General features: G+C 37.4%; 1 long non-coding RNA gene and 1 further gene across 1 annotated transcript in view; one reads left to right on the top strand and one right to left on the bottom strand.

The window, feature by feature from the left end:
* Window positions 1-13,036, bottom strand: part of PCDHB@ (protocadherin beta cluster) — a 197,972-nt gene that overhangs the window by 170,929 nt on the left and 14,007 nt on the right.
* Window positions 406-13,036, top strand: part of PCDHB1-AS1 (PCDHB1 antisense RNA 1) — a 31,827-nt gene continuing 19,196 nt past the window's right edge. The window contains exon 1 of the long non-coding RNA NR_105056.2: window positions 406-660. This is a non-coding gene — a long non-coding RNA (PCDHB1 antisense RNA 1). The remainder of the gene's footprint in view (window positions 661-13,036) is intronic.

Genomic DNA, 13,036 nt, shown 5'->3' with positions numbered 1-13,036 from the left:
TCTCTACTAAAAATACAAAAATTAGCCGGGCCGTGGTGGCGGGCGCCTTTAATCCCAGCTACTCGGGAGGTTGAGGCTGGAGAACCGTTTGAACCCAAGAGGCGGAGGCTGCAGGGAGCCGAGATCGCACCACTGCACTCCAGCCTGGGAGACAGAGCGAGACCCTGTCCCAAAAAAAACAAAACAAAACAAACAAAAAAACAAAAAAACACTGGCTGTCACCCTCGTCCGCACAGTTAGACATCTGTTGGAGCCGACGCGTAATTTCGGAGGCTGTAAAAATTCCCATCTCCTAAATTATACATCCAGGAGAGAAACCCTGTTCTATAAGGAGCTACTCCAGGAATCCTGGGCAGTCTACTGGACTCACTTCCTCTTCCTTCTGGTAGGACCGCTTTTAGGGCCGGTACCGGAAGTGCTAGCCACAGCGACTTCAGGTAGTCTCGGTCTTAGCGGATTCCGCGGACTTTCTTGTCTTTCTGCGTACTGCACTAACTGAGCGACCAATTGATACCTAAGTTTAGCTGAACTTTTTGTTGAATTAATTAAAACTGTTTTGAAATCTATTCTGTAAGAGCCTGAGAAAAATTGCGGCCACAGAAGCTGTTTTGAAATGCGCTTGGCTTCCGACTTCCGCAAGGGGAGGCAGCTGTTTCTTGTGTAAGCAAAGTCGAACTGAAAGAGGATGAAAAGAAGGGAAAGGGATTTGTGAAGATTTTATTAGGATTTTTCCCCCCTTTAGGCTGGAACATTTCTTCTAATTATTCTTTTTTTTTTGAGATGGAGTCTCGCTCTGTCGCCAGGCTGGAGTGCAGCGGCGCGATCTCGGCTCACTGCAGCCCCCGCCTACTGGGTTCAAGCGATTCTCCTGTTTCAGTCACCCGAGTAGCTGGGATTACCTACAGGCGGGCGCCACCACGCCCAGCTAATTTTTGTATTTTTAGTAGAGACGGGGTTTCACCATGTTGGCCAGAATGATCTGGATCTCTTGACCTTGTGATCCGCCCGCCTCGGCCTCCCAAAGTGCTGGGATTACAGGCATGAGCACCGCGCCCCGCTGGAACATTTCTTTACTATTTCTGGCACATTCTGGGGATGGGATAGCTGCGACTGTTTTGCAGTGCACTCATCAGCTGATCTGAATGCTCTTTCGCTTGCTGGAATCACAGCGTTTTGATCATGTTAAGAAAAAAAAAAGGCATGAATAGGGATTAAACTTCAAGTGGCATAAAGATCGTTTTAAAATGCATACATTTGAGAATGGAGTCCTCCTTCCATATATAAAGTGTAATTTGAGGCAGTTTTGTGAATGGAATTAAAATACTACGAGTTAGGAAATTACACAACCCAGTTAATTTATTTCTGTAGGTTACTTTGCAAGGGTAGGTTAGTAACTATACGTGGGCTGATTGTGCTAGTTACATCTGAAAGTATACTAATTCTGGCTTCTGAAGTGGAAGTATTACGTGTGTTTCATGTGATATGGAGCAGCAAGGTAAAAAACCAGATGTTGAGAACTGGTGCGTTTGTCTGCATAGGCACAGGTTGGAGAAAAAAGTAAGAGTAAATCTGGGTAGTTTGAACAGACAGGCTGGAGCGTCTAGGAAGAATTATCCTGAGGCTGGTTCAGGTTAATTGAAAGTTTTAACAGAAAACTTTCAAGAAGGTGTACTTGCTGAACTGCTGGTACAGAAAATTATTTTTCTGAGTAATAATTATGGAAAGTAGTTTGCGTAGGTAGAGCAAACTACTCTTTCCTCAGCTTTTCATTCTCTTTTGGATTCTCTCTGCTTCTCCCAGTTTTCTACTTTGCATTGATTCTTTCTCCATTTTCTTTTTTTTTTTTTTTTTTTTTTTTTTTTTTGAGACGGAGTCTCGCTCTGTCGCCCAGGCCGGACTGCGGACTGCAGTGGCGCAATCTCGGCTCACTGCAAGCTCCGCTTCCCGGGTTCACGCCATTCTCCTGCCTCAGCCTCCCGAGTAGCTGGGACTACAGGCGCCTGCCACCGCGCCCGGCTAATTTTTTGTATTTTTAGTAGAGACGGGGTTTCACCTTGTTAGCCAGGATGGTCTCGATCTCCTGACCTCGTGATCCACCCGCCTCGGCCTCCCAAAGTGCTGGGATTACAGGCGTGAGCCACCGCGCCCGGCCCTCCATTTTCAGCATAGAGTAAGGTCAGGTGACTGAGTACACAAGAAGTGCTCAGTTGGCAACTCACCAGTGAATGTAACCATGTACAAAGGGAAACTGGATTATTAAGATAAAAAGAAGATAATTTTCCCCTAAACTATACACTATAATATCACAATCAGAAGGTATTTTAGGGAGTAGGGTGGGTTTTATTTACAGAAGTATTTGTGTGTATATATTTGTTTATATAGATGGTCTTCCATAAAGAAGCAAGTACAAATAGCTACAATTGAACTGTATAAATCAACACAAGTGGGAGTTAATTCAAGTTTATTTAGTGAATACGAAGTGCAGAATAGTATAGTAGAGTAAGAATTATTAACACTGAAGATAAAAGCAGATTAAATATTTCTGAATAGGTTCAATTCACTAGGTAGATTATGTAAAGGACCATATTAAAAAGACATCCAAAGCAAGAAATTGAAATAGCAATTTAAAAATAAATACCTACTTAAAGTAAATTCAGAATCATCTTTTTTCTAGAGCTGATTTTTTTTTAACATGAGGTATTGTCTGACAGTGCCACTTCTCTCTCCTAATTAAACATAATCAGGGTTCAGATTTGGTCAAGTAAAATACGTTTCAGGTTCTCCAGATACTAGCATAATACTTGGTGTGTATTGATTACTTAAATGTAAATTCATGGAAGAGAATCCAGGTATATTTGGACAAAAACAGCACTTTTAATTAAGCATGTTGACATTCTGTTCAGTATAATTTCTTCTTCTGTTCCTTTATTCCATTACTTATTCAAATTGTATTGCTGTTTTCCCTTGTATAAAGCCACACATACTGAATATGCAAATATATAGAGAAAAAATTCAAGCCACCTTGTCAGTCACAATTTAAGATTGACAAATATTCAATTGAAGATCAGTTGAATTTTTTCCTTCATATCTTGTTATGTGAGATGAATAAAGGTTTTATTTGGAGGCAAAATAGAGGTTTTTAAGATTTTGCAGGGCTTATGAAGCATAATCTAATTAAACAGATTTGTGACTGTGTGCCTTTTGAGTATTCTGGGGTTTTCTATTACCGCTTAGTTGTTCCAAAAAATTTTTTTTATTAATTTGAGACATGGTCTCGCTCTGTTCCCCAACTCCTGTTCTCAAGGGATCCACCCACCTAGGCCTCCCAAACTGCTGGGATTACAGGGTGAGCCACCCCATTGGCCTTAAAGTATTATGAGGCTTTCTTATGTTTGTAAAACTACCGTCTTGAAATTCACAATAGTGGTATTTTTTATGATTTTTCTAGGAAAAAAAGGGGGGTGAATGGAAGCCCAATTTAGAAATGTTGAGAGGTCAATGAAAGTCCAATTGACTAATATGTCAAGAGGTTTTATATTGAGTTCTCTGAGAGCTCATTTGATTAAAAAAGAAGTCTGCTTATTTACTAAGGGAGCAATGAATTCTAATTAAGTTTAATGTTTAGGAACAGGCTTTTCTCATATTCTCCTAAGGCCAAGGGATATTTCACTCTGAAACTATTTTGAGGTCAAAGAAGTGCAGTGTTAACTGAAATGTCAGGAAGAAGGGAAACTCCAATTTGTATACGCACTAGAGAAAATGTGTTTTTACGGGGTTCACTGGTAGTGCAAAGGCTTCAACCAAATGTCACTGAAGTCCTAGTACTTCACTGAGTTCAAATTTGGATGTTTTGCAAGACATTTTTTCTCTATTTGTATTAAATTTTATTTTTCTATTTGTTTATATAAATAGCAAGTTCAGGGAAAGTTAATTTTAGAGGGAAATTAGAAGTTCCTTTATGGTTCCTCATGTATTTAGTGACTGGAGGTGGCAATGTATATTTGTGGATTTTATTTTCAAGACTAAATTTTCAAATTCCTTTCAAATTTATATATAATTAGATCAATCAAATCTCTGGCAATTAGGATCAAATTCACACAAAATTTTGTACTGAAAGCATATTGCATTTACATATAGATCAGTGAATCCTACACATTAACACTATGGCGTGTTTTACAAGTAATATTTAATTCTTAAAACTGAGATCCTGGGTGACTTTTAAATGTTGTAAATTGCATTTGGCAACTTAACAGATGTCAATGTGTTTATGTAGTTTACAGTGAATTCAGTGGATTTATTGATAGACTGCTGGATTTATGTATGTTTTTCTATGTGGGCCTTTGGAAGAAAATATACAATTATTTCATAAGACCTGTGTGTGAAATTTAAGGAACGAATTAGCCTTTGATAGGATTTCTTCTTTCTCCTGTCCAGTAATCTCAGAGAGTTCATTGAAATTAGTGAAATGTGAGCAAGTTCACTTAGTGTGCACTTTAAATTGAAATGATAAGATTTAGCAAATGGATGAATTCCCTAATAACTCATGATCAGTGTGTTCAAAGAGATGCAGTTAAATTCAGATCAATCAGTATAATTTCAGTTTGAGGTTAATAGGTGACATCAGTACATTTATTTAACCCTGGAGAGGAATTCTCAGTGAATACCTGAAAAGGTTCCTTAGATCCAATATAGTATAGATGAGTTCTAGGGTTTATTATAGTTTTAAAATTAAATTATTTTGCTTATAAGGTGGATTTTAAAACTTTGCATTTTTTATGTAATTTTTGATTTAATTAAAATTGAGTGAGGAGTGATTCATTCTATGATCAATTCACATTAACGCAGAAAGCCATAGTTCCTACAATGGTACCTTTGTTGGCCATATATAAAAGGTTCTATGCATAAATCACCTATTCAATTTAAAAGTTTCCAACTTACATTTGTTTTATTTTAAAGTACTATTTTTTTTTTAACAGGCAAGCATTTTGACTAAGAAATCTGGCTGTTGGGAAACCTGTAGGCAATGTCAAAAAACCTTATTTCAGTCAAGTCAAGAAAATGTCCGTAAAACTGATTATGTGTTGGTAGAGTTTTTTAAAAAAACATAAAATACATAGAGAAAATAATACAACAATGACTAGCCTAACCACTGTTCAGCTTTATGAAATTTTAATGCCTGCTTTACTTGTTCCAGGTCTTTTAGAAAATAAAACGTTGATGTATTCAAGGCTCCTGAAAATATATTATTTCCCCCTTTACAAAGAGGTTTTATATATATATATATATTGAGACCGGGTCTCACTCTTGCCCAGGCTGGAGTGCATCAATGCAATCATAGCTCATTGCAGCCTGGACCTCTTGGGCTCAAGCAATCCTCCTAACTCAGACTCCTAAGTAGCTAGGACTACAGGCATGCACTGCTATGCCTGGATTTTCCCTCCCTCCTTCCCTCCCTCCCTCCCTCCCTTCTTTCCTTCCTTTCTTTTCCTTTTCTTCTCCTCTCGTTTTTCTTCCTTTTCTTTTTCTTTTCTCTCTTTCTTTTTTCTCTCTTTCTTTCTCCCTCTTTTTCCCCTTCCTTCCTTCCTTCCTTTCTTCCCTCCCTCCCTCCCTTTCTTTTCTTTCTGACAGGGTCTTCCTATATTGCCCAGGCTGGTTTTGAACTCCTGGCCTCAAGCGATCCTCCTGCCTTGTCCTCCCACAGTGTTTATAGGCGTGAGCCCCTGCACCTGGCTCAGATATCCTTATATATTTCATCTTGTTGACATCTACTCAGTTTCAGAGGTGCTCCGTCTAGAAGTTTAATTACAGTATTATATCTGCATTTCTTCTTCTTGATGAGATGAAGCCAGACTGTGTTCCTGTGTTTTTATTTTTGTTTTCAGCCAGTTTACACTTACACTAGCAGTGCATGAGAGCTGCTTTTGTTTCATGTGCTCTGTAACCCTTGTTCTTTTAATAGTTGCCAATCCGGGTGTGTAGTTCATGTTGGTTAAAATATGCATTTTCCTGTTACTAAAGAATTTGAGAACTTTCATATGTTTATCAACCACACCACTTGGATTTCCTCTTTAAGACTTTTGACGCTTTTTATTAGGTTGTGTGCCTTTTTATTATTGATTTGTAGATACCATTTATAGGCTTTGAATACTAGAACTTTGTGGTTTATACATGGTACAAATATCATTTTCCAAACTGAGGCTTTTCTTTTCACTCTTTTTATGGTGTTCTGTGATGACTAGTTTTTACTTTTAAGGTAGTGAAATTTATCAGTCTTTTCCTTGATTTGTGCTTTTGTGTCCTGTTTAAAACATTCTTCCCCAAAGTCATGAATAGATGTCCAATATTATCTTCTAAGTGTTTGCATTTTGTTTCCCACTTTCAGATTTCTAAATAGCCTAAAATTGATTCTTTTGTATGGTATGAATTAGGGACCCAAATTTTATTTTTTATATGGATACTTAATTGTCCCAGCACCCATTTAAGGGAATGCTGCCTTTTCCCCATAGCTGTGCTCTCTGTCCATATGTATGTTAGTTTATTTTAGGGGCTCTAAATTAGTTCATTTTTCTATTCCTCCACCAGTACCACACTGTATTAATTACTGCAGCTTTATTTAAATAAACTTTTATATTTGGAATGGCAAGTCCTCTCACTTTGTTCTTCGTATTCAAGGGTGCCTTGGCTATTGGTCCTTTGCAGTTCCAAGTATTTAGTGTAATTTAGTCTTGTTGAACATGGCAACATGTGACCACCACCAACAACAAAAATACCTGTTGGGATTTGATTGTGACAGCACAGAATCTATAGATAAATTCAGGGAGAATTGATATAAAGTCTTTAATCCTTACATGTCTTATATGTCTCAACTTATTCAAGAATTTTAAATTTTCTTTAAAAAGTTTTACATTTTTATTTTTGGAAGCCACACACATCTTTTACTAGTATTATTCCCAGGATCCTTCATATTTTGAATACTATTATAAATGATACAATTTTTAAATAACGTTTTACATTTTTATTTTTGGAGGCCACACATCTTTTACTAGTGTTATTCCCAGGATCCTTTGTATTTTGAATACTATTATAAATGATACAACTTTTATTTTTATTATTTTTATTTTTATTTTTGAGACGGGGTCTGGCTCTGTTGCCCAGGCTGGAGTGCAGTGGTGTGATCTCGGCTCACTGCAACCTCCACCTCCCGGGTTCAAGTGATTCTTGTGCCTCAGCCTCCTGAGTAGCTGGGATTACAGGTGCACACCTTCATACCTGGCTAATTTTTGTATTTTTAGTAGAGATGGGGTTTCACCATGTTGGACAGCTAGGACTACAGGTGTGTACCACCATACCTGGCTAATAAAAAAAAATTTTTTTTTGTAGAGATAGGGAGTCTGACTGTGCAGCCCAGGCAAGTCTTGAACTCCTAACCTCAAACAATCCTCCCACCTTGGCCTTCCAAAGTGCTGGGATTACAGGGTGAGCTACCACACCTTGCTGGAGAAATCTTTTGAGGCTGGGAATGGTGGTTCATGCCTGTAATCCCAGCACTTTGGGAGGCTGAGGCAGGTGGATCACTTGAGTTCAAGACCAGCCTGGCCCACATGGTGAAACCCTGTCTCTACTAAAAATACAAAAAAAATTGGCCAGGCCTGGTGGCATGTGCCTGTAATCCCAGCTACTCAGGAGGCTGAGGCAGGAGAATTGTTTGAACCCAGGAGGCAGAGGTTGCAGTGAGCCGAGATGGCACCACTGCCTCCAGCCTGGACGAGAGTGAGACTCTGTCTTTAAAAAAAAAAAAAAAAGACAGAAACCTTTTGAGCCCACTCTCCTCCCTGGAAATGTGTGTGGTACATACTTAACTACTGATTCAATTATTTTAATTGGATTAAGTCTATTCAATTTTACTATTTTTCTTCAACCAGTTTTTCCAGGATATTCATTCTCATAGAGTTGTTCATAGGTTTTTCTTTTGAATTGTTAATCTCTGCTATATCTTTTTTTTTTTTTTTTGAGAGACAGAGTTTCACTCTTGTTAACCAGGCTGGAGTGCAATGGCGCCATCTCAGCTCACTACAACCTCTGCCTTCTGGTTTCAAGTGATTTTCCTGCCTCAGCCTCCTGAGTAGCTGGGATTATAGGCGCGCACCACCATGCTCAGCTAATTTTTGTACTTTTAGTAGAGATGGAGTTTCACCATGTTGGCCAGGCTGGTCTCGAACTCCTGACCTCATGATCTGCCCGCCTCAGCCTCCCAAAGTGCTGGGATTAAAGGCATGAGCCACTGTGCCCAGCCCAATCTCTGCTATATCTTTAGTTTTGTCTGTGCCAAATATTATTTACTTATGCCTTTTTTTCTTTTCTCAATCAGATAATTATCTTTTTTTTTTTTTTGAGACAGGGTCTTCCTCTGTCACCTAGTCTGGAGTGCAATGGCATGATCACAACTTGCTGCAGCCTTAACCTCCTGGACTCACTCCATCCTCCCACCTTAGCCTCCAGAATAGCTGGTACTATAGACATGCACCACCATGCCTGGATAATTTTCATACCTTTTGTAGAGCCAGAGATCTGCCATGTTGTTCAGGCTAGTCTCGAACTCCTGGGCTCAAGCCATCTGCCCTCCTCAGCCTCCCAAAGTGTTGGAATTACAGGCATAAGCCCTGCTTCAGCCATGATTACTTATATAAAGATTCCTTTATAATATAAGCATTTAACAGTACGTATTTCTAAGTAGCACTTTAGTTGCATCTTCCAAGTTTTGGTATGTAGCATTTTCATTATCACTCAGGAAATATTTTCAGATTTTCATTATAAACTATTTTCTTCAAGTTTAAGCTTTAAAACCTTACATGGGGGGTTTATGATTTTTAATTATTGATTTCTAATTTAATTAAATTGAGGTCAAAAGATGTTACCTTTGCCGGGTGTGATGGCTCACATCTGTAATCCCGACACTTTGGAAGGCCGAGGCAGGCGGATTACTTGAGGTCAGGAGTTCGAGACCAGCCTGGCCAACATGGTGAAACCCTGTCTCTACTAAAAATAGCCGGGTGTCCTGGCTCATGCCTGTAATCCCAGCTACTCGAGAGGCTGAGGCAGGAGAATCGCTTGAACCCAGGAAGTGGAGGTTGCAGTGAGCTAAGATCGCGCCACTGAACTCCAGCCTGGGCGACAGAGTGAGACTTTGTCTCAAAAAAAAAAAAAAAGAAAGAAAGAAAAAAAGATGTTGTTCTTATAATATAAATTATTGGTGTCTGTTAGATTTGTTTTATGATCTAATATGTTGTCATCTTATTTAAAAATTTTATGTGTATTTTAAAATAATGGGGATATTTAAGCTATAGAGCATAGGGTTCTCTCCCTATATGTATCTTTTAGATCAAGCCCATTCCTTGAATTCTTCAAATCCAAATTTGGATTTCCTAGCTATTTTCTATTTGGTTCATCTATCAAATACAGGAACAGGTATGTTTAAAACCCCACATATGATTATGGACTCACCAATTTTTATTTTAAATCTGTTTGCCAGGCGCAGTGGCTTAACACTTATAATCCCAGCACTTTGGGAGGCTGAGATGGATGGATCACCTGTGGTCAGGAGTTCGAGACCAGCCTGACTGACATGGCAAAACCCCATCTCTACTAAAAATGCAAAAATTAGCCAGGTGTGGTGGCGAGCACCTGTAATCCCAGCTACTCAGGAGGCTGAGGCAGGAGAATCCCTTGAACCTGGGAGGCGGAGGTTGCAGTGAGCCAAGATGGCCCCACTGCACTCCAGCCTGGGCAACAGAGCAAGACAGCATCTCAAAAAAAAAATGCTGTTTGCTTTATAAATTTTGAGGTTATATTAGATACATTCAGTTGCAGAATTGTCCTATAATGCTTTTTGCCATTAGGACTTTTTTTCTGATATTCATACAGGTTTTCAGATATTGATATTCTGATAACTGGTATTCATATTTAGTATTGTACATGTATGTTTTCCATGTCTTTGCTTTCATTTTACTGGGTGATGGGCAGAATAATAGCCCTCAAAGATATCTCCATCCTAATCCTTGGACCTTGTGAATGTTATGTTACATGGCAAAGGGAATTAAGGTTGTGCATGGAATTAAGGTTACTAATCAACTGACCTTAAAATAGGGAGATTTTCCTAAATTGTCCTTCTAGGTGCAATGTAATCCCAAGGGTCATTAAGATTGGAAGAGAGGCTAGAGAGGAAAGGGACAGAGTGAGGTGGATATGTGAATATGAAAGAAAGGTATAGAGAGATGCAACATTCGTGGCTTTGAAGATGAAGGAAGGAGTTCTCCAGAAGCTGGAAAAGCAAGAAAAGAGACTCTTTTCTAAAACCTCCAGAAAGGAATGTAGTATTGCAGACACGTTGTTTTTAGACCTGTGAGACTTGTGTCAGACTTCTGACCTACATAACTGTAAGATAATACATATGTGGTGTTTTAAGCTGCTACATTTGTAGTAGTTTTTTAAAACAGTAAGCAGAAAACTGATAAACAGTGTTTTAAAGTTTTAGTTATGTCATTTGTAAAAAGCATTTAGCTGTATTATTTTTAATCCAATGTGATGTTTTTGTCTTTTCATAAATGAACTTGGGAGACTGAGTATTGCTTGAGGCCAGGAGGTCAAGACCAGCTTGGGGAACATAAAAAGACCCTTTCTCTATAAATACATACATACATACATACATACATACATACATACATACAACAAACTGTTTGTCCTTATTGTGATTACTGATAAATTTGGATTTATTTTTCTAATACTGTTTTGTAATTTCAATCTTCTGGGGCTTTTTCTCTACTTTCCTGCTTTTTACTGGATTAAGTTTTCTTTCTTTTTTATTCCACTTGTTTGGAAGTAACACATTCTTTTTCTTTTTAATCCCAGATGCAGATGGTTAATTGTATTTCTTAGTTTAGAGTACATTATCAACTTTGGTCTGTGCAGGAATCCCCTTATTTTATTACTTCATTTTCCCCTAACTTTCAGCACTCCTGTTTCTCTATTTACATTCTTAGCCTATATGTTTAATATGTGTCTTTAAATGTATGTTTATGCTTACAAAATATTGCTTTGTTGTTTTTGTCCCTGTAAAATATGGTCAATACCCGGGTACTCATTTTCAGTTTCTTATTCCATTTCTAGCTTTTTAAAAAACTCGAATTGTGTTTTTGAGATCTAGTCACATTGTTTTTGAACATCAAGTTTGTTGCATATGACCTCTGTGTGACATTCAATAGTGTACATTACCATTACCATTTTACTCTTTATTTTTCCTGTTGTTGGACGGCTACATTTAACTCAGTACCCAGCTATTACAAACAAGGCCATGATAGACTCATTGTATATGTTTCCTTACAAATCAGTGTAAGAAGTTCTTTGATATATTTATACAGAATCTGGATAAATACATACATTTATTTTCATTAAATACCTCTAGAATGCTTTCCAAAGTTACTGTACTAGTAGCTATTTCCTTCAGATGTGTATAAGTTGTCATTAGCTCACATCCTTGCCAACACTTGATGTTTTCTAGCTTTGTATTTCTTTTTCATTTTGCTGAATATAAAAGTGATTTTATTTTTAATTTGTATGTATGTGATTACTCATGAGTTTGGGCATTTCTTCCTATGCTCTTTTCTATTTTCTATAGCACTGACTATCTTTTAAATATTTATTTGCATGGGTTCTTTGTGAGTTCTAAATGTCAATCTTTTGTTGGTTTTAGACATTGGAAATATTTTCTGCATTATGCCATCTGCCTCTTATTTTTTTATTTTGCCCATCTTTGAGCAGAAATCATAAATATTGAAGTAAATATATAAATCTTTTCGCTTTATAATATGTACTTTTTGGCTGTTGTTTAATCATTTCCTATATAGTATTTTCTAGTTGGTTATTACTGGTATGGAGGAACACTTTTTTCCACCCTTGGTTGATACCATATGTAGGACCTTTGATAAAGTCTTCAGAAAGATGACTTTAGCAAAGGTGCTAGATTTTAGTGATTTTTCTTCATAGATGATTATTTCATCTGCAAATACCAATACTTTTATCTTGTCTCTTCTACACCTTATACTGCTTAAGCCTCTTTCAAGTTTTGTAGTAGTGGCCAGGGTCTGTTTACTCTGCTGAGAAGTAGTGGTTCTGGTAGGTATTCTTTTCTTCATCCTAATCTTATTGAGACTGTTTCTAAGGTTTCCTCGTTAAGTATAATGTTTACAGTAGACTTTTGATATATAGTCTTTTTAAAGATAAATGTTTCCATATGTATCTATTATATATAAGTGTTCAACTTTATTTTTTTCTATTACTATTAACAGTTTATTGGAAGTTTGATAAACTATAAAACCATCCAGACTAGTTCTTTTTTGGGGGGGTGTCAGGTCTGTGATTACCATTTCCATTATTTTAATAATTATTATCTATTCAAAAATTTTATGACATTTGTACCAATTTGTCATTTCTATTTTCATATAAATTTATCTAAGCACTTAGCTTTTCACTCATCTTATTTATTTTTTATAGTCTTTATAGTTACTTCTTTTTTATTCTGTGTTTTAAGTTATTGTACCTTTTCCTTTTTTGGACAGCCTTCCTCTAATTTTTCTGTTTTATATATACATATATAAGTATACTTTATATATACATAGATAATCTATTTTATATATACATATATAATATAATATATATTACATTTGAAATATATATACATATTTCAAAATAAGTTCATTTGCTTTGGCTAATTTCTATTCTTTTTTTTTTTTTTCTTTTTTTTTGAGACGGAGTCTTGCTCTGTCCCGCACGCTGGAGTGCAGTGGCGCGATCTCGGCTCACTGCAACCTCCGCTCCCAGGTTCATGCCATTCTCCTGCCTCAGCCTCTTGAGTAGCTGGGACTACAGGTACCCACCACCACGCCCAGCTAATTTTCTTTGTATGTTTCGTAGAGACGGGGTTTCACCGTGTTAGCCAGGATGGTCTCCATCTCCTGACCTCCTTAGCCAGGATGGTCTCCAT

Source organism: Homo sapiens, chromosome 5 (genome assembly GCF_000001405.40).
Source record: "Homo sapiens chromosome 5, GRCh38.p14 Primary Assembly".
Taxonomy (NCBI): domain Eukaryota; kingdom Metazoa; phylum Chordata; class Mammalia; order Primates; family Hominidae; genus Homo; species Homo sapiens.
This window is presented reverse-complemented; position numbering and strand designations above follow the sequence as displayed.